Below are 26,585 nucleotides of genomic sequence, written 5' to 3'. Positions count from 1 at the left end.
AGTACAGTGTCAAATCTACTTGGGCAGTCCCTCAGCTGCCCATTCCTGGCACGTTTGGGATGGACCTTGGTTCTGTTCGGGATTGAGTCATGTCCCTCCTGGCTGAACACTCTGGACTTTACTGATTGGACCTACATGCACATTAGTGTAAATAGGCTATTTTGGAAAGGGTCCTAGGACAAATAAAAAGAAAACATATAAACTTGCCATTGGATTTGTTCCCCATAAATAATCCCAACAGAGAAAATTGACCTGGTGGCCTGGGATCCACGCATCTGCTACATTGATATCATTGTTTTTATATACCATTATTCTAGTTTCTAAATCATTCATTCATCAACAGGTAGTAAGTTTTGACTAAGTGTCAGGTTATGTGATACTCTTTGTGGTTAAAAAAGACAGCTTGGCTGTCCTTACTTTCACTTCCCTTGATATCAATCTCTACCACAATAAAGTAGAGACAAGCCTTAGAGTATTCAGAAAGTTCTTTTTCTAGATTATATATATATTAATGAAGTTGTAGGCATGGTAAGAGCTCCACAGAGTGAGTCAGATCCTCAACTGACACAAACACCCATCATAATGAGGCAGATTATCTGCTTCACAAAACACTCATCATAGGACACAAGCAGACTTGGAACCTACGAGAAGGAAGGTTTTGATTTTACATCTCTGCCCTGTGAATTTACCTTAAAGAAAGCCTTTGTGCATATTATTTTAGGGTTGAGTGCTATGGATTCTGTTGCTTGGGATTATAGATACACTAATATAGGTAAACTACGCTTAAAAATTCCTACTATGGCTGGGCACGGTGGCTCACGCCTGTAATCCCAGCACTTTGGGAGGCTGAGGCGGACTGATCACAAGGTCAGGAGATCGAGACCATCCTGGCTAACACGGTGAAACCCCGTCTCTACTAACAATACAAAAAAAAATTAACTGGCCATGGTGGCGGACACCTGTAGTCCCAGCTACTCGGGAGGCTGAGGCAGGAGAATGGCGTGAACCGGGAAGGTGGAGCTTGCAGTGAGCCAAGATCATGCCACTGCCCTCCAGCCTGGGCGACAGTGCAAGACTCTGTCTCAAAAAAAAAAAAAAAATATATATATATATATATATATATATTCCTACTACACCTTCAGTGAAAATAATTTATAAACTGACCATTGAGTTTCCCCACCATAGATATTACCAGCAAGCATATGAAATGTGTCTGCTCAAAGATGAACTATTTTCTCGTCTTTCTTCTGCTGTGGACCTGAAACCATCTCATTTGTCATTTTGTAGTTGGCAGATATGGCTATCCATCTTATTTTATTGAAACTGGCGGTGATGATAACTTGCCTGAGAAAACAATTTTAGTTTCCCTGCAGCATGATGTAAATCGATTGGTGTGCAATGTATCAGACCTTGTAGCCTAATTGAGTTCAGACAATATATCTTCATTTTCCCCTGGCAGCATCGTTAGTTCTTAAGTTGCTGCTCAAGTTCTGTGAGCTCTGAATTGTATCATGGGTTTTTGTCAGAGTGTCCGATACAGCCCTGGGGGTTCCTAAGGAATGCTGTGGGGCTGCTGAGTAGACACTCCCCACAGTGGGAAATGTCACCCCTGCTGCTACATATGCCAGGGGCAGAAGTTTCTACAGCATTTCCCAAAGTATTGTGTTCCAATGAATATGAAGTCTTGGGTTTATGCCAGTAGCTATGAGGCTTCAGCCAGAGACCATCCTGGGGGCTCTGTATGATAAGTTTACAAACCAAGAGCACCCATGTATTCAAGCACTACTAGATTCTTATATCCAACAACAACAACAAAACAGTTATTGGGAACCTACTGTGGGCCAGGCAATTTGTTCTGAGAATGGATAGATAAGACAAAGCCTCTGCTCATAGGAAGCTTATACTTTGCAAAAGGACAGATATGAACACAAATTACTACTTTGGAGATACTACTAACAGTTGCACCTGAGTTGGTTCATTCTGCTCATGCAAGTTAACTGTTCAGTGAACAGATTTGGCTTTCCACGAACTTCCTTAATATAAATCATGATAGCTTCTCTTAAAACAGTGCAGAGTAGGCAGGGAGAGGAAGAGTTAAGGCCTAGCAAGAGACCTGCCTGCTAAACAGTGGGGCCCTGCAGGAGAGAGAGAGACAGAGCAAAGGTGGCACAAGAAAGAGGGTCTGAAGAAGGCAAATTCGGGCAGGGACTACTGTGGAGGTTTCCAGTGAGAGAAGCAGAGTACAGAAGAAGGTAATCAAGAACATATCCTGTGCTCTGGATCTACACGTGGGCCATCATCATCTACACAGCAGATGAGGGCAAGCTAGGAGAATCTAGAGATAGGAGGATGTGTTTGCAGCATCAGCAGCTACTGTAGTCATCTGCACATTAGATGATAACAAAAACTTGGGTGGCAAAATAGAAGAAATGAAGGAAGAAGAAGACTTGTAGCACCAATAAACTTTTTAGAACATTTTTGAACCAAGTTTACTGGAAGACTTGACAGCAGAAAAATAAATGTCACACTGTCTCACTTTAAAATCATGTTATATATGACCATTAGCTCATTATGTTGCATTATCACTTTTATTTTATTTGGTGATATTTGAACTTGAATTATTATTCAAAATGATCTGAATCTCATATTATGGTACAAAATTGTAGCTCAGTAAAGCAAGGAGATATAGGACTTATATCTTCTATGTAATGTAATCTTAGCATTTCAACATTTGGCACAGTACCTTGCAGATGGTCAACTCTCAATCTCAATTTATGTCATTGAATTAAACAGCATCAAATAGAATGAAAAAGAGTTAAGCAGAATTCCATCAACGGTCTAAAGGGTAATATTTGCACATTATTTTTATAAATTTGTTTTAAGTATCTAGGAAAAAGATGAATGGAAGTTGTTGATGTAAAGTTTGGGTTTATTATGGTGTCCAAATTTAATTTCCACCAAAAGTGGAGTCATATGTTAATTATTTCTAGTTGTGAGGCCACTTACTAGACAGCCCTGGGTCATCAACAAGTCATCTCTTTCAAAATCCTTTTCTCTTGCTTAGTCTAAAGACACATGTAGCTTCATATATACTCATTAGCATTCTTTTATGAAACCTCTTTCAGAAAAGAAAGCCATTTTTATACTGATGACAAGCTGTGGTTGTAATTTTTTCTTTTCCATAATTTTTGCTAGTACCCAGAAAGCAATGACACTAAAATAGACAATTTAAAATAGCAATACATTAGACATCTTTATCTAAATTGCATCCATCTATAAGCATGGATATATTATGTGTATATCTACAGACACCTTGGTAAATTTTTCGTATGTTTTTGGCTGATACTGTACACAAGCCCAGATTGGGCAAAATCTCCTGCCCTCTTCATTGTGCACCATATTTTGATGGCTGTTGTCATTGTTTTTGTCAATGGCCAGTACCTAATAATAATAGGAACACACATTGGACAATCCTAAATACACCACTTATTCCTGTAATTTCAACCAGCAGAAGCCATTACTAAAATAGGCTGTGGCAGTTGTTGGAAATTTAAAGCACATTCTCTAGAATGCTCTATTATTCCTGGGGGAAAAAAAGTTCATCATCAGTTTTTTGCCTCTTTGAGTCATGCAGATTTTATTTTGGTATTAAAGAAGTTTTTCATCTATTTCATCAGCCAAATTACCCAATAGACATGGGCTCAGTTACTACAAAGGAGAAAAACAAGTCCCTATTATCAACACTGTTCACCTGAAATAGGCATATTAATATCTAACAAGAATATATTCCTAACATGAGATAGAAAAGATTATTGGGAGAGCTTTCTCTTTTCTGATTATAAAATGTAAATCTTCAAGGTACTTTCAGGAGATCTGGGGAATGATAAAATTTTTGCAGTTTCAGAATTGAAAGGAACTTAGAGGTCCCTATTTCCCTGGGTCCAATCCCCAGCCCATTGCAAGAATCTTTTCTGTAGGCTCAGTGACAAATGGGTATTCAGCATTTGGCAGCTCCTGAGTATCTGAGATGTGGTACCCGTAGACAGCAGACCATTCCATCTCTTAGAAATCCCTTCCCTAATCCACTTTTCTGTAACTTCCAGCTATTAATCCTAGTTCTATTTCCTGAAGCCACTGCAGAGTAATACAAGCACTTCCTCTAGATGACAACTAGTGAATTGCTTGAAGGTGTGATTTACATCACCTCCCTCAAGTTTTCTTTTTCTTTCCCTTAGTTAAAATCTCTACATTGGCTGGGCACAGTGGCTTGTGCCTGTAATCCCAGCACTTTGGGAGGCTGAGGCAAGGGGTTGTGGGGATCACTTAAGGCCAGGAGTTCAAGATCAGCCTGGGCAACAAAATAGATCTGGTCTCTATAAAAAACAAATTTATAAATTAAAAAAAGAAAACTCTACTTCATTTTATTTTTTTATTTCTTTCCTTTTTGTTTTTGTTTTGTTTTGTTTTGTTTTTGTTTTTTGAGACAGAGTCTCAGTCTGTTACCCAGGATGGAGTGCAGTGGCGTGATTTCGGCTCCCTGCAACTTCCACCTCCCCAGCTGAAGTGATTCTCCTGCTTCAGCCTCCCAAATAGCTTGGATTACAGGCATGCGCTATTGGGCGAAATTCACCCCCGATATTTCACATAGGTTCTTTTCTATTTTCCCTAAGTGTCAGCTGGTCTGAGAAATAAAGGGACAGAGTACAAAAGAGAGAAATTTTAAAGCTGGGTGACTGGGGGAGATATCACATGTCGGCAGGTTCCGTGATGCCCCACAAGCCGCAAAACCAGCAAGTTTTTATTAGTGATTTTCAAAAGGGGAGGGAGTGTATGAATAGGGTGTGGGTCACAGAGATCACATGCTTCACAAGGTAATAAGATATCACAAGGTAAATGGAGGCAGGGCGAGATCACAGGACCACAGGACCGGGGTGAAATTAAAATTGCTAATGAAGTTTTGGGCAGGCATTGTCACTGATAACATCTTATCAGGAAACAGGGTTTGAGAGCAGACAACTGGTCTGACCAAAATTTATTAGGCAGTAATTTCCTCATCCTAATAAGCCTGGGAGCGCTACAGGAGACCAGGGCTTATTTCATCCCACAGCTACGACCGTAAAAGATAGCCATCCCCAAAGCGGCCATTTCAGAGGCCTCCCCTCAGGGACACATTCTGTTTCTCAGGGATGTTCCTTGCTGAGAAAAAGAATTCAGCGATATTTCTCCCATTTGCTTTTGAAAGAAGAGAAATATGGCTCTGTTCTGCCTGGCTCACCAGCAGTCAGAGTTTAAGGTGATCTCTCTTGTTCCCTGAACATTGCTGTTATCCTGTTCTTTTCTCAAGGTGCCCAGATTTCATATTGTTCAAACACACATGCTCTACAACAATTTGTACAGTTAACGCAATCATCACATGGTCCTGAGGCGACATACATCCTCCTCAGCTTATGAAGATGACGGGATTAAGAGATTAAAGTAAAGACAGGCATAGGAAATCACAAGGGTATTGATTGGGGAAGTGGTAAGTGTCCATGAAATCTTCACAATTTATGTTCAGAGATTGCAGTAAAGACAGGCATAAGAAATTATAAAAGTATTAATTTGGGGAACTAATAAATGTCCATGAAATCTTCACAATTTATGTTCTTCTGCCATGGCTTCAGCCGGTCCCTCCATTCAGGGTCCCTGATTTCCCACAACAATGCGCCACCACACTTGGCTAATTTTTGTATTTTTAGTAGAGAGGAGGTTTCACCATGTTGGCAAGGCTGGTCTCAAATGCCTGACCTCAAGTGATCCACCCACCTTGGCCTCCCAAAGTGCTGGGATTACAGGCGTGAACCACCACACCCTGCCTACTTCATTATTTTTCTAAGTGTAGTCCAACTATCCATACCTCAAAAATCACCAGGGGCTTGGCAAATGCAGATTTGTAACCTCATCTCTGATTACATTAGAATTATTCTGTCTTTGTCTCTGCTCCGCATTGGTTACAAGCATCCCAAAACCATACAGTTTAAAAATCATCACACAAATAGAAGTATTCCCAGCTGATCTCTCCTTACTAAACATCCGCAGTTCTCACTTGAGACGCATCAGAATCACCTGGAGTGCTCATGATAACACAGATTGCTGGACTCCATCTTTCAGAAAGTCTACGTAAGTCATTTTCTGATGGATCCAATTCAAGTGTTTTCATGTTTAACCAATTCTCAGTGATGCTGATGCTGCTGATTTTAAGACCACACTTTGAAAACCACTGCCCTAGATGTACCAATGCTCTTCACTTTCTCCACAGTGAATGTCAAGAGCCACAAATGTCACAGCTGAGATGCTGCTGTCCAATTAGGTCCTCACATTTCTGCAACCACCCATTGAACTGTATAGTATAAGAGTCCATTTTTGTTTGTTTTGTTCCATTTGTTCCCATAGCTGTTTATAATTAAATATATGGCATACTGCATTTAAGTACTTTATTAAAATAAACCTGTCGAAATTTGAGTATAAAAAGAAAAAGATACTTCTGTGAAAATTAAGCTGAACACAAAAACACTTGATAAAGATGTCTTAAATGTTGCTAGCAAATTAAATCTGAGTGACACTTAAAATGGGAAAGTGAGCTTCTAATGTTGTCCCATTTAATAATTTCCTGTTCTTTCATCCTGCTGTTTGCTCACTTTGTACATGTGTTCCAGTTCATCAATAGGCCTCGTAATCGTAACCAAACACAATATTTGAGATATGGCCCAGCCAGCATATATTATAACTTTTAAAATCTAACCTGAAAATTGCATCAACTTCCCCCAACCAGAGCAACATGTAATGTCATTTGGGGCTTAAAATAAAATACTTTAAAAATTGGATTTTTTTTCTCATGTGCTGAGATTACATGTCCCTAATTTTGTGTTTTGCTGCTAGGTTTCTTCGTTCATTGTTTACTTATTCACTTTAGTGTATGTTGGCTCTTTACCCTTCTTTCCACTAAATTTATCTTGTGAGTTATAGCTCATTTTTAAAGCTTTACATAATTTTTTGAAGTATTTCTTTGTTACTCAGTCTTTAAACCAAGGTTATCATATGTAGATCATACATACATTTTATCAGAATTTCATCAGTTTAATCTTTCAAATTACTGATTAAAATACCATAAGGAACAGGGAGGAAGACAGAATTCCACTGCCCTAATAGCACACTTTGAAGGTCATTGTTTGTTTAGTTATGAAGCACATCTTTCTCTTTTTCAATCACAGAGATACTGCAAATCCTGCTGCGTGCCTTACGTAGCCGAAGGTCTTTTGTTTAAAGCAAGTTCCTGTGCTCAAATCTGGTAAACTCCTTTTTAAAATGAATAAAGGAGCATCTCTATGACAGACCAAAATGTAATACAGGGTCTACAGGGAGCTCCTTGCAAACATATAATGTCGTAAGAGCAACACACCATTAGAAGAATGAGGGAGGGACTTAGGCAATTTTAACAAAAGAAATACAAACAGTACATTGATATGTGAGAAAACAAAAAAGAAAACCTATTGTTATTAATACCCAAGTAAAATTCAGAAAGCAGCACAATCACTTTTTCCTCCAAATAGATGTGTTTTGTTAATATGATAACATCTAGTATCAGAAAGGGGTTAAGAAAATAGGTGATCTCATACAGTGCTCATAAAAGTCTGAATTGCTATCACTTTTGTCGAATAGAATTTGACAGAATGTGCCAGAAGGTCAAAAATCTCTCACTTTGAATCAGTAATTCAAGTTCTAGTAGTTTAATCCTAAAAAAAACCCAGGTGTTCCCACATATAAAAAATATTTGTTGCATTATATAATTGTCAAATATAGAACACAATCTGAAAGTACAACAATTGTGAATTTCTTAACTGTATCAAGACATATCTACTGTTGGAATGTTATACGAATGTTAAAAATTATATTTTAAAGCATTGGCTTTTGTTTCTTTTAATGATACCCATATTTGACACATTTTTTAAAAAATATTAATTTTTCTATTGTTCCTTGCAGAGCAGGGCTAATCCATAGGCAGTGTGCCCAGAGTAGCCACATTTGATCGACACATACATGTGTTTGTGCGTATTTGTATATGTGTGTGTGTACATATATATGGTTACTGTATAAACTGTATTTGTGTGTGTTTATATGTACATAGAACTGAAATAACAATACATTCCCTTATGTGCAATGCAATCTGATTTTTAAAATGTATTCTGTACTTAATTTTTTTCTAAATGTTGGTTGCATCTCTCTAAATTGATTTCCTTACCAACTAATGCATTTAGTTGGTAAAACAACATTATTTTTGAAGAAACATCCATAACATGGGTAATTGAACAAAATGTAATCTCTTTAATACACACGTTATTCAGAATATGACATAGTACCATGCACAGTATAATTTCAGTTTTGTAAAAAAAATTTTAAACATGTATCTGTGTATAAAAAGGTAGAAGGACATAATAGAATGTAAATGATCATATTTCAAGTAATATTTATTTCTTCTCTTTTTTCTATGTTTTCTTCATTTTCTTTAGTGAACACATACTGGTTTTATTATGGAAAAATATTTTAAGAAAATGAAAGTATTTGGCTATACTTATTCTTTCTCAATTCTCTTAGGAAGCTAGTGACCAGTACTTAAATGTATATGTGTTCATAAGCTATCTCTTTTTAGTACGTAGTACTAGAATATTTTTCAGCATTCAACATTAAATATGACAGTTTCAAAACTAACTACAGAATCCTCTTCCTCTTGTCCTTGCCATCTTAATTCTCAAGAATTCGAGCTTATCTTTAACATTCTAGGAACTCACCCACCTCCACAGTTTTATAAAAATTATTCACTATGTTTCAGCAAACTCACTTGTAAGTTTACCTGGAAGAACTGATTTCATTTAAATTGTGCAAGAGCTTCCCTAACACCTAGCCTAGCTTGAATTCCTTCTTAGCACCTGCCTACTTGAAAATATTCTGATTCTATTAGTCAATCTGTTAACATTTAGGGTGTGACCAGTGACCCCCATCCCTCTCTCCACCATGTCTCTCCTCCCCCAAATTAAAAGTTAATTTTCCCAAGACCTTGGAATCTCATTACCCTGATTTCTAGAAGTTTATTCCCTTAATGAGATTTGCAGCCAAGGAGCTCAGCTCTTGCAAATAATCAACTACTTATTTGGAGACTGCTATAATATTAATGTTTAACAGCTGTCCGTTATCACTTCATCAGGCCAGATGACTTACAAAATCACGTAAGAAGGCATATAAAAGTGCTAATGCAGGTTCTACCAGCAAGAAGAATTCAAAGAGGGAACCGGAGGAGTTTAGGGATAGTTAGAAAGCTTTAGCAAGGACATAGATAGGAAGTTCATCTTTGAAGAGTGGATAGGGTCTGAACAGGTACATGCACAAACAGGTGACCAGCGGAGAGAGCAGCAGGCACAAGGGCCAGCCAAAGAACCACTTCGTGGGTAACAGTAAAGAGTCTGAAAGGCCACGGAACCCAGGTAGTGAAGGATTTGGAAATCCAGGCAAAGATGTTTATATTTATAAGTGAAACGGGAATTTTCAACATGAGAGTAAAATAACAAACATCTAGCATCCCTTAGTTTAGACTCTGCTAAGAGCACTGCCTATCCCTGGTTCAATAAGTGGAAAAGGCATTTTTCAACATGAGAGTAAAATAATAAACAGATAACATCCTTTAGCTCAGACTCTCCTAAAAACATTCCCTATCTCTGGTCCAATAGCATCTCATTTTACCACCATATGGTCAGTTCTTTTTATTAACATAGCTGTGGGGTTGAGCATCTGGTGAGACAGTTGGATCACATAAACCAGTGGAAGGGCAACGATAAGATTTTACCTTTCTTATCCCCAGTGCCTCTCCATAGTCTCTGCAGCCTACAAGGCACTCAAGAATATCCATCCCAGTCTACAGCAACATATGGGAGAGACTCGGAGGCAGTGGCTGGAGACAAACAAGCAGGAATTGCAAAAGGATAGCGAAAATGGAGGTTAAATTTTTTTTCAAAAAAAAAAAAATCTTTTTTTTTTTGAGGCGGAGTCTTATTCTGTTGCCCAGGCTGGAGCGCAGTGGAGCAATCTTGGTTCACTGCAAGCTCCGCCTCCCGGGTTCACGCCATTCTCCTGCCTCAGCCTCCTGAGTAGCTGGGACTACAGGCGCCCGCCACCACGCCCGGCTAATTCTTTTTGTATTTTTTTTTTGTAGAGACGAGGTTTCACTGTGTTAGCCAGGATGGTCTCAATCTCCTGACCTCGTGATCTGCCCGCCTCTACCTCCCAGAGTGCTGGGATTACAGGCGTGAGACATCGTACCCGGCCTCAAAAAAAATCTAAAAGATGTTGATAACTTTCTACTCTTCTCTGTAATCTGTTTCATAGCCACCCTTTAAAAATCTGCCCCTTTATTTCTGCTCAATCTCTTCAGTGTCCTGTATACTAGAAAAGACTACTGTGTTTTTTTGTTTTGTTTTGTTTTTTTGTTTTTTTTTCGAGACAGAGTTTCGCTTTTGTAGCCCAGGCTGCAGTGCAATGGCACAATCTTGGCTCACTGCAACCTCCACCTCCCGGGTTCAAGTGATTATCTTGCCTCAGCCTCCCGAGTAGCTGGGATTACAGGCACCTGCCACGATACTCGGCTATTTTTTTTTTTTTTTTTTTTTTTTTAGTAGAGACAGGGTTTCACCATGTTGGCCAGGCTGGTCTTAAACTCCTGACCTCAGGTGATCCGCCCACCTCGGCCTCCCAAAGTGCTGAGATTACAGGCATGAATCACCGCACCTGGCCATTCTGTGTGTTTTTATGACAGCAATAAAATAAGTGGGCTTAGTAACTAAAGCAAACATAGCTTCTCTCTATTTCCTTTGTGAAGAAGGGATTGCAGGAGAAGAATGTAGGAAGTTGCTTCCATCTCCCTAATGCCCCAGGCTCTCAGGCTATAGCTAAGAGCCTGGCCTTCATCAATTCCTACTGACTCAGGGCTCCTTACCATCAACTTTCTGTTATTACTTTAAGACCAAGAACGATTTTTTTTTATTTTTTATTTTTTATTTTTTTTGAGACAGAGTCTCGCTCCGTCACCCAGACTGGAGTGCAGTGGCGCAATCTCGGCTCACTGCAACCTCTGTCTCCTGGGTTCAAACAATTCTCCTGTCTCAGCCTCCTGGGTAGCTGGGATTACAGGCACGCACCACCATGCCCTGCTTTTTTTTTTTTTTTAAAGTAGAGATGGGGTTTTGCCATGTTGGCCGTGCTGGTCTCAAACTCATGACTGCAAGTGATCCATCCACCTCAGTCTCCCAAGGTACTATGTTTACAAGCATGAGCCACTGTGCCCAGGCCAAGAATGATGTTTTTAAAGTCAGTTAAAATTTATACCTTTGATAGCTCACTTGGAAAAGTTAAGGACAAATACATAGGTTGTTATTTTTGTTTTGAGAGTGTTGTCCCTAATTATAACAAAATCTCTGCAAACCATTTAGGACAGAAAGGAATTGGTTTGGTTGAGGGGAAGTTTTATTGTGACACACTAGAGAACTCTCTTTGTTTATGTAATTATTGTATTATAGACTAGGATGATGCTCTCTGTTCACTTACGTGCCAGCTGAAGTCTCAGGTTTATTTTGTCCTGAAACTGATTATATGCTGCTTTTTCTAGCATATTTCCATTAACCAGATATTACAAAATCTCACAGGATCTTGAGTTTTTGTTATGTTCTGAGTATATTTGTCTTTCTCTATAGATTTGTTTCCACTATAATCTGTTTCCTTTAGAATCTGACAGGAAGAGTTTAAATCACATAACACATATGTAATCATTGGGTTAAAAATAAGTATTATTCGCATAGAATTATTGTAAGCAATTTCGTTTTTTAAAAGTGCCATTGATAGGGTTTGTTAGCCCTTTTCATTTCTGGAATTAAGACTTTAAAACTTAGCTATAAAAATGTCTCATATTTGGTCGGGCACAGTGTCTCATACCTGTAATCCTAGCACTTTGGGAGACTGAGCTGGGAGGATCGCTTGAGCCCAGGAGTTTGAGATCAGACTGGATGACATAATGAGACCTCATCTCTACTAAAAATAAAAAATCAGCGAGGTGTGGTGGTGCACACCTGTGGTCTCACCTACTCGGGAGGCTGAGGCAGGAGGATCGCTTGAGCCTGGGAGGTCGAAGCTGCAGTGTGTCATGGTCACACCACTGCACTCTGACCTGGGTGATAGAGCAAGACCCTGTCTCGAAAAATTTAAAAAATAGTTTTTAAAAACCATTTCTCAGATTCTTCAATTTGGAAAAATTGGGAAAAGATCATTGGCAGGAGCTGGTTCCATACAGCATCCAAGGAACTGCACTGAAAATGATTGTTCCAAAATGGCTGACATGCAAATACCGTACCACGTGTACTTCCCTGGAAGTGATCGTGTTCTTTTTAACTTAATACATTGCAGTGGAGGAGTGAGCAACCAAAAGTATACACACAATCATTTCTTTGTGCACTAGAGTAGGGCTTATGCATTTTCCTTTCCACTATGTGAATAAGGCAGGATTTGCACATGGTTTACAAATAGATCCAAGTGTAAATCTTCCAATCCAGATGGCCTATTGGGCATCCATGCTGTCTGCTTTGACCTCAGTGCTGCACTTAAGATCTCTTTTTTTTTTTTTGAGACGGAGTCTCACTCTATTGCCCAGGCTGGAGTACAATGGCGCGATCTCAGCTCACTGCAACCTCCTCCTCCCAGGTTCAGGTGATTCTCCTGCCTCAGCCTCCCGAGTAGCTGGGATTACAGGTGACCGCCACCATGCCCAGCTAATTTTTGTATATTTAGTAGAGACAGGGTTTCACTATGTTAACCAGGCTGGTCTTGAACTTCTGACCTCAAGTGATCCACCTGCCTCGGCCTCCCAAAGTGCTGGGATTACAGGCGTGGGCCACCACACCCAGCCCAAGATCTGTTAACTGTTAGTTGTACCCAAGTTTGCCTTTTAGTTGTCTCAATATACAAAACAAATATCCTTATTGCACATTTGATAAATCTATACCACACACAGAGGTTTTGTTTGTTTGTTTGTTGAGACAGAGTCTCGCTCTGTCACCCAGGATGAGTGCAGTGGCGCAATCTCACCTCACTGCAACCTCCGCCTCCTGGGTTCAAGCGATTCTCCCTGCCTCAGCCTCCTGAGTAGTTGAGATTGCAGGCACCTGCCACCACACCTGGCTAATTTTTGTATCTTTAGTAGAGATGGGGTTTCACCATGTTGGCCAGACTGGTCTCGAACTCCTGACCTCAGGTGATCCGCCAGCCTTGGCCTCCCAAAGTGCGGGGGTTACAGGCCTGAGCCACCTCGCCTGGTCCACACAGAGTTTTGTTGTTAAAATACACCTGTATGTTTTCTCATTTTTGCCCATTGTTATGCTAATATCACAAAGCCCCAGGTTTACTGTGGGCCTGTATTTCTCTCTGGGCTGCTATGAAAAAGTATTTTTTAATTATTTCCTGGGACAAGAGTTTGTCGGGCTTAACTTGTATCATCCAATTTTTAATGAAGTCCATATCAGGCCAAGTACTAGTAGCTTTGAGGATTTGAGGATATTTGAAAAAATAAAAACAAAACCATAGAAAGAGAACCATGTTTTTTTTTTTTTATAAATTGATAAAGACAACAGTAGATGTCATTGTTCAAATAAAAAAATGACTGTATCTGAGTTTCAAATGGCTTCCAATTTCAATGTAACTATTTCACTCTTTTTTTTTTTTTTTTTTTGAGACAGAGTCTCGCTCTGTCACCCAGGTTGGAGTGCAGTGGTGCGATCTCGACTCACTGCAACCTCCACCTCCCGGATTCAAGCGATTCTCCTGCCTCGGCCTCCTTAGTAGCTGGGACTACAGGCACGCACCACCACGCCCAGCTAATTTTTGTATTTTTAGTAGAGATGGGGTTTCAACATGTTGGCCAGGATAGTCTCGATCTCTTGACCTCATGATCCACCTGCCTTGCTCTCCCAAAGTGCTGAGATTACAGGCGTCAGCCACCGCGCCCGGCCCATTCTTCTTCCCAGAATTTTGAACCAAATCACATTAATCTGTAGTTTTAAAAGAAACAGTTTTATATCAGCATCTTTCCCCAGTCTTCTACTATATAAGAATTCATTCCTGTGCCTCAACAACGTGTACTGATGTGTACCTTCCTTCATCCCACAAAGAGGAAGCACTTTTTTTTTTTTTTTTTTTTTTTTTTGAGACAGAGTCTCACTCTGTAGCCCAGGCTGGAGTACAGTGGCCTATCTTGGCTCACTGCAACCTCCGCCTCCCAGATTCAAATGATTCTCCCACCTCCCGAGTAGCTGGGACTACAGGTGTGCCCCGCCACACCCAGCTGATTTTTGTATTTTTAGAAGAGATGGGGTTTCACCATGTTGGCCAGGCTGGTCTTGAACTCCTGGCCTCAAGTGATCCACCCGCCTCGGCCTCCCAAAGAGCTGGGATTACAAGCATGAGCCACCATGCCCAGCCAAGTAAGCACTTTTTAAATATAAATTGTTCAGTCTCAGAATAGGTATATATGCACATGTGTATACAATTCTATTCATAGCACAGAGACTACAGTAGTAAACACAGGAAATGGCATTGTATTTAAGAACTGAATCTTTTTTATTTCAACATCATTTGATTAGCTTATTGCCCAGGATTGGGGTGGAAAAGCAGTATGATTTTAGCTTTTAATTTATAACTTTCTGTCCTTTTAGAGTCAGAATAGTGACTCTGGGTTTGGGTATCTTAATGAAGAGAGCATATAATGATAGTGTTAATAATTATAATGATAGTATAATGAGGTAATAGCCAACGTAAACTGAGTGCACAAAATGATCCATAAATAATTTTAAGCAATTTACTTGTATCATTCTTCACAACAAAATTTGAAAATAAGTACTATTATTATCCTCATTTTACAGATGAGGAAATAGGCATAGAAGTGGAGGCAGCATTTCAGTCCGTTATAGTCAGCTATAACAAAATGCCACAAACTGGGTGGGTAGCTTATAAGCAAAATAAATTTATCTCTCACAGTTCTAGAAGCTGAGAAGTCCAAGATCAAGATGCTGGCAGATTCAGTGTCCGATGAGGGCCCCCTTCCTGGTTCATAGACAGCCATCTTCCTACTGTGTCCTCACCTGGTGGGAGGGGCAAACAAGCTTCCTTCGGCCTCTTTTATAAGAGCACTAGGCCTGACGCAGTGGTTCATGCCTCTTATCCCAGCACTTTGGGAGGCCAAGGCAGGTGGATCACCTGAGGTCAGGAGTTTGGGACCAGGCTGGCCAAAATGGCAAAAGCTGGCCCTACTAAAAGTACAAAATTAGCCGGGCGTGGTGGTGCATGCCTGTAATCCCAGCTACTCAGGAGGCTGAGGTAGGAGAATCGCTTGAACCCAGCAACTCAAGCAATTTGAGGCCCTCCAAAGGTAGGGGCCTTTGGAGGCGGAGGTTGCAGTGACCCGAGATTGCGCCATTGCACTCCAGTCTGGGCAACAGAGTGAGACTGTCACACACACACACACACACACACACACACACACACACAAAGAACACTAATCCCATTAATGAGAGCTTCACCCTCATACATGGTCACTTCGCAAAGCCCCCACCTCCTAATAGCATCACACTGGGGAGTAAGCTTTCAACATGTGAGCTTTGAGGGGGACAGACAGACCAGAGCAGGCAGGAGTGCATATTTTATTTATAAAGCAGGGTCTGTTGTTAATAAACTGTTTTCTCTTTTATTGTTGTTTCTCCCATAAAGTGAATAAACATAAGCCTAGTGGGAAATGCCAGCATTAAACTTTGATATCAGCCGGGCGCAGTGGCTTGTGCCTGTAATCCCAGCACTTTGGGAGGCCAAGGCGGGTGGATCACAAGGTCAAGAGATCGAGACCATCCTGGCCAACATGGTGAAACCCCATCTCTACTAAAAATAACAAAAATTAGCCAGGCGTGGTGGCAGGTGCCTGTAGTTACAGCTACTCTGGAGGCTGAGGCAGGAGGATTGCTTGAATCCGGGAGGTGCAGGTTGCAGTGAGCCGAGATTTCGCCACTGCACTTCAGCCTGACGACGGAGTGAGACTCCGTCTCAAAAAAACAAAACAAAACAAAAACCACTTTAATATCTTCTACTCTCAGATGCTGAAAGCTAAGTTGTGGACCCTTTTTCCCAATTAAGAAAAAATTAAGAGAAAATGGTGCATGATTTTCATTGCTGCTGTTCATATCAGCAAAAGGGCCCTTATCAGTAATTATATGGTGTGTAAAGACAGGTTGATTATGGAATTATTAATCTTTTCTTAAACATATTGTCTTTTTCCAAAAATGTGGCTGCTATGAACTGAATATTTGTGATCCCTTCCCGCTCAAGTTCACATGTTAAATCCTAATCTCAAGGGTGATGGTATCAGGAGCCAGGGCCTTTGGAAGGTCATTAGATCATGAAGGTGATGGTATTAGGAGCCAGGGCCTTTGGAAGGTCATTAGATCATGAAGGTGATGGTATTAGGAGCCAGGGCCTTTGGAAGGTCATTAGATCATGAAGGTGATGGTATTAGGAGTCAGGGCCTTTGGAAGGTCATTAGATCATGAAGGTGATGGTATTAGGAGCCAGGGCCTTTGGAAGGTCATTAGATCATGAAGGTGATGGTATTAGGAGTCAGGGCCTTTGGAAGGTCATTAGATCATGAAGGTGATGGTATTAGGAGTCAGGGCCTTTGGAAGGTCATTAGATCATGAAGGTGATGGTATTAGGAGTCAGGGCCTTTGGAAGGTCATTAGATCATGAAGGTGATGGTATTAGGAGTTAGGGCCTTTGGAAGGTCATTAGATCATGAAGGTGAAGCCCTTATGAACAGGAGCCTTTATCAGATAGGTCCCAGGGAGCTTATTTCCTTCTTCCATTATCTGAGGACACAACGAGAATGCACCATTGATGAACCAAGGAGAAGGCCCTCACTAGACAAAGAATCTATAAGTGTCTAGATCTTGGACTTCCCAGTCCTATAAGAAATAAATTTCTGTTGTTTATAAGCCACTTAGTCTATCGTTTTCTGTTATAGCAGCCCAAACAGACTAAGGCAATGGCCATGAGTGATGATGTATCTCCCATCACCGCTGACCCCTTTCTAAAACTGAGCCACATTAGGTAGCAAATCAAGAGTATTGCTATGACTGTGATTTATTACTAAAATATATGTTTCCAATTTTTTAATTTTTACTTATCTTCTGAGATGTACAAAAATTCATTAAATAACTGGCCCACATAATTTTATAATAGAACATATAAAATAAGACATGAAATGAAAACCAGCAGTTTTGCATTCCGATCAAACGTTTCAAATTTCTATTTTTTTTTTTGAGACAGAGTCTCGCTCTTGTCACCCAGGCTGGAGTGTAGTGGCGCGATCTCAGCCCACTGCAACCTCCGCGTCCTGGGTTCAAGTGATTCTCCTGAGTAGCTGGGATTACAGGTGCCCGCCACCACGCCTGGCTTATTTTTGTACTTTTAGTAGAGACGGAGTTTCACCATGTTGGCCAGGCTGGTCTCGAACTCCTGACCTCAGGTGATCTGCCCACCTCAGCCTCCCAAAATGCTGGGATTACAGGCGTGAGCCACTGCGCCCGGTCTCAAATTTCTTATCTCTCTAGAGTACTTGTGATTAACAGCAACACTGTTGACTTACAAGATTTCTAAAACATAAGTATGTGCTTTATGTAATCATATGATTTGTGGAATCAGAATAGAACAGATTTTTTCTTGTATTAGGGTTGGAAGAAGTCAGGTAGGAAAGAACAGGAAGACATCAACAGCTAGAAACAGGGAACAAGTAGACTTTTATCTTCAGATATATAATTGGCACCTTTTTATCCATTATTATGTAAGATAGGGAACAGACTCAATCTTGAGTTTCATGAATCACACCCTCAAAAACTGCATTTTATTTAATTAAATCGTATCCTCTACATTTCTAGATATTTATAAATGTGACATTAATTTCAGCCATTGAACAAGAATGCACTCACATTATCTTTCAGAGCAGCTTACTAAGATTTGTTGTAACATGTTTATAATCAGTTGGGAACCTAGGTGTTGCTTCATTGCTAAGCCTTGATGGAGCATTTATGGATATGTTTTATGATTTGCTAATCTGTGCTGTGAAACCATCAGTCTGTTTGCAGTGGGGAGGAAGGATTTGGGAGGGGTAGGAGGGTGGAGGGAGGGAGGATAGTTTTGTTTGACGTGTCAGTGGAGGGAGGGAGGGGGGAAGGCAGGTTGGTCATGAGGTTTGAACTAAGATGGACTTAAAGGGTTCAGTGTTGACCTTGCACAAAAATCAGCTACAGTAAATAGTTGCTACTACTAAGCAGGTTTTCAGTGATCGTACTTGATTTTCTTTCTTTTCTCTTGTTTTATATATTTTCTCAGGGGAAATCTCTCACGTCCAAGAGGTTAACAAGCCTTGCTCAGTCTTACTAAACGGATCATCTTGTAGCATGAATGCAGACTGGAGTCACTGCACACACTTTGTAGCTCAATGTTGTGACCTGGAGCAGAGGACATTAGAACAAGATGTTGCATGAGCAAAGGACCTAAATTGTTATTTTTGTGTGTACATTCCATCTCCAATGGACTCTTCCGTCTCAATGCCTCCATTCCAAACTGTTGTCTGCTTTCTTTCTCCTTCTACTATGCTGGATCTGTGTCTCTTCCTTTTTAACAAGTTCAAGTGAAGTAAAACCTTTTCTTTTTTTCCTTCTTTCTCTCTCTCTCTCTCTCAAAGCTTCAGTTAGACACACAGTTCACTGAAAATTCAGTCAGTCAAAAACTGGAAGAACTGTAAAAGAAAAAAGTATATATCAATAAGTATACATGTGGCTTCACATTTATTAAACAATAAATTCCGCACAGAAAGTTTCATTTCACCAATGTGTCACAGTCAGAAACAAACTCATGTCTTCGTCTGTTGTCTGTACATTCTCCGTTAATGTTTCTCGCATTTATTTTTATACCATATTTAAAGAAGAAACACCTTTTACTCCAAATGTATTAAAGTTGATCCCTTCTCTGTAAATTTGTGTATGTTTATATTGTTGTTTTATCTTTCATTAAAAGATGCAGAATCTCATTGCTTTTGTAACTTTTGACTTCCATGCTAACTAAAAAGGAAAATGCTGAGAAATCCACAACCCACTACCGCAGAGTTAAATTTAGGTTGTCACCTTGAAATTTATTTCAAGGTTTCAAGACAAGCTTGGATAGTACGGAAGCCAGGGGCAGATGGAAATATTTTTTGGAGGCTTACCTGAGACTTAGTAATCCTTTTTCTCCCATGGAAGAACAACACAAATTGATGTTCCACATTTTCAAAGCTATTTAAAAGGCCTTTCTGCCTCATGATGAATATGCATCTGTATATTTTGCAAATTAATATTTCTGTTTGAATTAAGCTTGAGTGTGACTTATTAAATCAGGTACTGATTTGTTCTTTAAAACACAATTCTAAAAATATCATAGCTCAGTGTCTCTTAACTTTTTGGAGGTTACAGATTATTTTGAGAATACAGTCACCTCTTGGCATCCCTGGGAAATAATTGGTTCCTGGACCTCCTCAGATACCAAAATCCACAGATGCTCAAGTCACTAATATAAAATGGTGTAGTGTTTGCATATAAACTACGTAAATCCTCCCACATACTAAGTCATCTCTAGATTATTGTAATATCTGATACAATGTAAATGCTATTAGTTGTTATACCGTATTTTTAATTAATACAACTTTAATTGTTGCATTATTATTTTTATTGTTGGAAGGTTGCTTGAATCTAAAGCTATGGAACCTGTGGACGAGGAGGGCCGACTGTGTGATGTAATTAGTAAAATTTAGTGACGCTTACTAAGTACCTGCCACTTCATTAAGAGTTTTCTGTGCCCTCAAAATTCTCACATTTAACCATCACAGCAGTCCTATAAGATCGTTTCTGCAATTTTGAGAACACTGAAGCAGAGAGAGGTTAAGTAACTTGTTTGAAGTCACCTACCTAAGTAGTGGATTGGGATTATACAGGAGGAAAAAAATCTTTTGCTTCTACCCTTCTAGGTTCTTAGCTGTGGCTCTGTAACAACAGAAAAGCATACAAATTTACGTAACAGAAGTATTTTGTGCCAGGTGCGGTGGCTCACGCCTCTAATCCCAGCACTTTGGGAGGCTGAGGCGGGTGGATCATCTGAGGTCGGGAGTTTAAGACCAGCCTGGCCAACATGGTGAAACCCTGTCTCTACTAAAAATACAAAAATTAGCTGGGCGTGGTTGCTGGCACCCGTAATCCCAGCTACTTGGGAGTCTGAGGCATGAGAATCACTTGAACCCAGGAGGCAGAGATTGCAGTGAGCTGAGATCGTGCCATTGCACTCCAGCCTGTGCTACAAGAGCAAAACTCCGTCTCAAAAAAAAAAGTATTATGTGACATGGGAGACTTCATTAAGAAATGAATACCTTAAAAAATGATTAAACCTGAGTGTTTTCTTATACTAGGTTTGATGAAGAGTTGTGGGAAAATGTGACAGGGCAGAGGCGTAGGTGCTAAGGGCAGTAAACTGGGGGAAACTGAGCAACGCCTGTTAATTCAGATTCCCTTCAGCGCCCCTCCATCTTCAGGGAGAAGAATGCTCCATTTCTCTGGGTATAGGGAGAGCATCTCTCACAGGAGGGTCTTATGACCTGCTTCAAGGGAAGGCCAGAGAGTCCTTCCTGAACCTGCCATTTCTCAAATTTCTTCAGCTTAAAATACTCAATATGCCAAGGTACCGTATTTTGGAATAGAACTCACAAAGCCCATCATCATATAAATCTAGGCAGTCTGACTGCAGGGTACACTATAGTGCCCACCTATCCATTATACCACAAACTTCTTTTGATAAAAATTATGTGAAAATTTACGTAAACTCACAGTTGTACTGAATTTTAGGATATTCACAGACTAATCTCTGTAGCTCATCCATGGACCCCCAAGTAAACAACTTGACTCACTTTAAGGGCTGGATCAGTGGCAAAAAAAGGTTACCCAGCCAGGAGATGGGCCTGACCTGTCTGCTTTTGCATAAACCAAGGCATTGCAGACTCTGGTTATTTAAAAAAGAAACCAAGTTATTAATGCCTGTTACTTACTGTAGATAAATTTAAATTCTGAAAAAATTTATTATCATTGGTGATAAATCAGCAGTGGAGTCTGTTGGTTATTTAATCAAACTGTCACAAAACGGAAGAGACTTCATAGGAGAAATTTGTATATAAGCTATAATCTAAACTGTAAACATTTTTTTAATAAAAAAGAAGAATCCATAAAATGCAAATAAATTAAATTGATAGACTTTATCCCTTAAAATCACTTAATTCAGGACAGTCTTGGACAGACAGCACTGAAGTTAGATTAAAAGTCTAGTTAGTAGAAACATTCTTTTAAGGAAAACAATAATCCTATAAGACGAATATGGCGTTAAAACAATGAGCCTTGCACAAATACGATTGGTTATTTCAGTGGTTATCTTTCACAAGCTATCAGTCCTTAGAAGTCCATCCTTCCTGGTAATTCCAAATCATGGAAAAATTCGTCCTTATTGCCATTTTCAATCGTAGAAAAAGACGGCAGAAAAGAGAAACCCCAAGTCAAGAATTCCTAATTTAAAAAGTTACTCAAGTTACTCAAGCCTAATGACTCCATTTAATGTGGCCTAGACACGACTCACATACAAAGCAAGAGTATTTCAGGAGAAGCACAGAAAAGTTTTGGAGTTGCTTGCAGTTCACTCCAGTAAGCCCTTGGCATCTGCCTCGCACCCCATGCTAAAATCATTTGATCTATAAGGCATAGAATAAAAATCTCTCAAGTTTCTATTTAATAAAATTGTTTTTAAGTTTTTTTTTAACTTTGAGACCATCAAAAAAGTTATCCTCCAATAAACCAGAGTTTCTACACCACGTTGCAGAGCTATTTTCATCCTCTAAATTGCATTGGCCCAATTCTCCTCTGAGCGATGTTACAATAATGTGTTCCGTGGATCTGCACAGGATTTTCTGCTTGAATCAAAATAACAGAAATATGGCCAGCAACCTTAGCTAAGCTGTGTCCAAAAATAAATGAAGGCACAAACCCTCCCTCTTCGTAATGAGTGTGTGAGATTTGATCTTGCTACTCAGGACTCACAGCTGTGCCCTTGGTTCTCCTGGTTGACTGCTCACTTCTCTTTACATGATGGTTTATGAATAATTCTGGTCTACTGAGAGAGGCAAGTCTTGGCTGCTAGCACGCATTTAGTCTAGCTGCATGCACAGATTGTCTCCACACAGAAGATTCTGTGTCCTTAAATACACATTTGAAAGGGCACATTGAATATTTAGTTGTTTTACTGTTGTCTGTAACTACCTCTTTGCACATTTTAGTAGCCCTCTAAAACGTCAGCAGGAAACAGCCAAAGCTACCAATCCATTCCCTAGGCCATTTTAAGAAATAGTGCATAATAATGAAGAATTTAAAGAGCATAAAGAATAGAGAGGAACTACATTCATGTATTACACACACACAAAAAAGGTATCTTATACATTTTATTGTACAACCATACATTTGTACTTTTTATTGAAAATGTTGTGCTCTAGAACTCATTTTTTAAAAGACATCAAATTTTGTATCAAACATAAGATGCTTCCATTTAAAAATCAGATTAGAAGAAAAACTTGCAGACGCCCTTAGATATTTTGAGGAGTTTTTGGAGCTGATATGTGCTTTGTGTTTGTAACTTCATTTTCAAAAAAGTCATTAGAGGCTGGGTAGACATGAATACTTCTTGATTAAAAAATTGATCAACAGGCATTGTGGAAAGGAGGCGGCAGCATCCCGGGCGGGTGGGAGATGCCCCAGAGGCAGCGGTGGTGGCGGTAAGTCCTCCCGGCCACTCACAGCGCTGTGGAGCAGCGTTCCCAGCCCAGCCTCGGACCGGGGTGCCCCTCCTCGAGGCTTCCCGTCAGCCTCCTCCAGGCTTCTCCTCCGCCCGCCCCTGCCCTGCGCGCTGGCTGGCCTGGCTGCCCTCCCCAGCCCCAGGGATGATCAGCTAAACATGATCAATGAGGTGCCAAACATTTTGAGACATCTGGGGTCTGTAGAACTAGTCCTTATAGGACAGTTCTATGAGATAATGCAATACCAACAATATTTGCTCTTACTGGTCATTTGAACAACCCACCTAGTAGACCCAGAAAACGAATAAAAGAATTGTTGATGAAACTTCTGAACAGGAACAAAAACATAAAGAAACCAACAACAGCAATGCTCCGAACCCCAGTAAAGAAGGGAGTGAAGGGCCAGATGAGGACATTTTACCTCTAACCCTTGAAAAGAAGGAAAACAAAGGATACCTAAAATCTCTGTTTGAAATCTTGATTCTGATGGGAAAGCAAAACATACCTCTTGATGGACAGGAGGCTGATGAAATCCCAGAAGGTCTCTTTACTCCAGATAACGTGCAAGCCGTGCTGGAGTGCTGGATAAATTCTGGTCAAGAGGTCCTGAGAAAGCAGTTTGAGACAACAGCAGTTAACATGTTGTTTTATTAAAAACACAGCAGAGGCAGATGCTAGAGATCTGTGAGAGCTGCATTCGGGAAGAATGCAGGGAAGTGAGAGACTCACACTTCTTTTCCATTATAACTGACGATGTAGCGGACATGGCAGGGGAAGGGCACCTACCTATGTTGGTGAGATTTGTTGATGAGTCTCGGTGAGGTTTGTTGATGAGTCTCAAAACATAAGAGGGGAATTTGTAGGCTTCCTGCCTTATGAAGCTGATGCAGAAGTTTTGGCTGTGAAATTTCACACTATGATAGCTGAGAAATGGGGATTAAATATGGAGTACTGTCATGACCAAGCTTACATTTTGTCTACTGGATTTTCTTCCAAAATGAAAGTTGTTGCTTCTAGACTTTTAGAGAAATATCCCCAAGCTATCTACCCACTCTGCTCTTCCTGCGTCTTAAATATGTGGTTGGTAAAATCAGTACCTGTTATGGGAGTATCTGTTGCATCAGGAACAATTGACGGAGTTTGTTCTTTTTTTCCATCAATCACCACAACTGCTTTTAGAATTTGACAATGTAATTTCTGTTCTTTTTCAGAACAGTAAAGAAAGGGACAAAGAACTGAAGGAACTCTGCCATTCTCAGTGGACAGGCAGGCATGATGTTTTTGAAATTGTAGTGGAACTTCTGCAAGCATTTGTTTTATGTTTAGATGATATAAATAGTGACACAAATATTAGATGGAATAACTGTAGCTGGCTGAGCATTTGTACTCTGCAGTGCAGTAACAGATTTTGACTTCATTGTTACTATTGTTGTTCTTAAAAATGTCCTATCTTTTACCAGAGCCTTTGGGAAAAATCTCCAGGGGCAAACCTTTGATGTCTTCTTTGCAGCCAGTAGCTTGACTGCAGCACTGCGTTCACTCAGTGAAGTGACGGAGAATATTGAAGTTTATCAGGAATTTTGATTTGAGGAAGCCACAAATTTGGCAACCAAACTTGATATTCAAATGAAACTCCCTGGGAAATATTGCAGAGCTTACCAGCGTAACTTGGAATCTCAGCTAACCTCTGAGAGTTACTATAAAGAAATCCTAAGTGTCCCAACAGTGGAGCACATTATTCAGGAACTTAAAGATATAATCGCAGAACAGCACCTCCAAGCTCGTAAATGCTTATCTCTGGTACCCTCAGTCATGGGACAACTCAAATTCAATACATCGGAGGAACACCATGCTGACATGTATAGAAATGACTTACCCAATCCCGACATGCTCTCAGCCGAGCTTCATTGTTGGAGAATCAAATGGAAATGGGGAAAGACACAGAGCTTCTGTCCACCATTTATGAAGCCCTCCATCTGCCTGACATCAAGTTTTTTCCTAATGTGTATGCTAAATGACCTATTGCCAAAGGTCCTGTGTATTTCTCCTGTGATGAAGGTTGAGAATGAGCAGTATGAAAATGGACGAAAGCATCTTAAAGCATACTTGAGGAACACTTTGACAGACCAAAGGTCAAGTAACTTGGCTTAGATTAACATAAATTTTGATATAAAACATGACCTGGATTTATTGGTGGACACATATATTAAACTCTGTAACAGTAAGTCAGAGCTTCCCACAGATAATTCAGAAACCATGGAAAATACCTGAGACTTTTAAAAATAGTCTTTCTTATATTCGATATTTGGAAGGAAAGCCATAAGGTGTATGTAGGCCTTAATCACTTAATATCTTTGCCTGTAGGCCTCCATTGAATACATTAGCCATTGATAATCTACCTGTTTAAATGGCCCGTTTGAACCCGCATGCTTTGAAGACCTGTCTGTTCTTCCAGAACAGAACATTGAAAGTGTCATCTTTCACTTCCGCATGATCTCTGTGGGTGGCACTCTGCAATTGTTTAAGTCATTTGAGACACCGCATTTATTATCACTGTGGATCTCTGCTCCTTGGGTGTTGAGTTACCAATTCTTTGAAGAAACATATTTTGAAGAGGTATGAGAGGAAGGAATACATTTTATAAAATGTTACAGTGAAGCCCACAATTGACCTTTCACTAATAGGAGTTTTAAGTATGTTAAAAATCTATATTGGACAGTTACAAGAAATTACCAGAGAAAGAGACGCTTGTGAGCTTGCCAAACAAGGATTTCAGGGTAGATTTTTATCTTTCACAAATGAACTTAAAGGAACAAATGACAGTTAAAGTTTGAATGGAAGAGCCTGCTGTCGTTCCACATCTAGTTGTTGCTGTTTATATTCCTTTGTGGAGCCTACATTTTCCTAAGCTTTTTTAGTAAGTATATGTTGACCACTTCTGTTTCACGGCTAAGACAGAATCAGAGGCTATGGATACTGACAACTGATTTATCTTTTTTTTCTGTCTTTTTTCATGACTCTTACCTATTGCCTCATCTTGATTTATAAGAAAAACCCGGAAAACCTACAAATATAAGTGTATTGGCTTATCTAGAAAAATACGGAAAATATTGCAGTTATTTTTTGGTGAAGAAAATAAACTATAATTTATATCAATCTAAATAAAATGCGAATTTTGTTTAAAAAATTTGATTAATCTTGATATCTTAATCAGATTATAGGACCTTAATCATTTCACATTTATTGGGAAATAAAGCTGAGCATGTTTGATATATTTTAAAGATGAATATCATCTTCCTCCAGTATTGGTTGAAAGGATGAAGATAATGTAAATCATCAAGCACAGTGCTTGATACATAATGGATAAAGCAATGTTTATCTTACCTGCTTCCTTTCTTTTTCTCCAAAAGGTCATCGTTGCAGAAAGATAAAAGAAATATCCACACATCCTTCCTACCTGGGGTGGGGTCAAGGATGAAGTTTAGGAGGCCAAAGTTGAGTGGTGCGGATCAGGATCCCAGAGATCACAGGAAACACCTAGAGCACAGTCAGATATGGTGGT

At 39.8% G+C, this 26,585-nt stretch overlaps 1 protein-coding gene and 1 pseudogene across 22 annotated transcripts in view; both read left to right on the top strand.

Annotated features, from left to right (window-relative positions):
• The window catches only part of RGS7 (regulator of G protein signaling 7), a 582,489-nt gene extending 562,519 nt beyond the window's left edge, over window positions 1-19,970 (top strand). For 13 of the 22 annotated variants that reach the window (NM_001374806.1, NM_001374811.1, NM_001374814.1 and 10 more), the window contains one exon: window positions 18,499-19,970. Coding sequence is in view for 12 of the 22 variants with exons in the window: in NM_001374811.1 (NP_001361740.1) it covers window positions 18,499-18,549 (51 nt within the window). In the remaining 10 variants the exon portion in view is untranslated. The remainder of the gene's footprint in view (window positions 1-18,498) is intronic. The other 9 variants (NM_001282773.2, NM_001282778.2, NM_001282775.2 and 6 more) reach the window with 1 other exon arrangement.
• THAP12P8 (THAP domain containing 12 pseudogene 8) lies at window positions 23,171-25,591 on the top strand (annotated as a pseudogene).
• The last annotated feature ends 994 nt before the right edge of the window (window positions 25,592-26,585 follow it).

The sequence above is a fragment of the Homo sapiens genome, chromosome 1, assembly GCF_000001405.40.
Source record: "Homo sapiens chromosome 1, GRCh38.p14 Primary Assembly".
In the NCBI taxonomy this organism is placed as follows: Eukaryota; Metazoa; Chordata; class Mammalia; order Primates; family Hominidae; genus Homo; species Homo sapiens.
The sequence above is the reverse complement of the archived record's forward strand: the minus strand, read 5'-3'. Positions and strand labels throughout refer to the sequence as shown.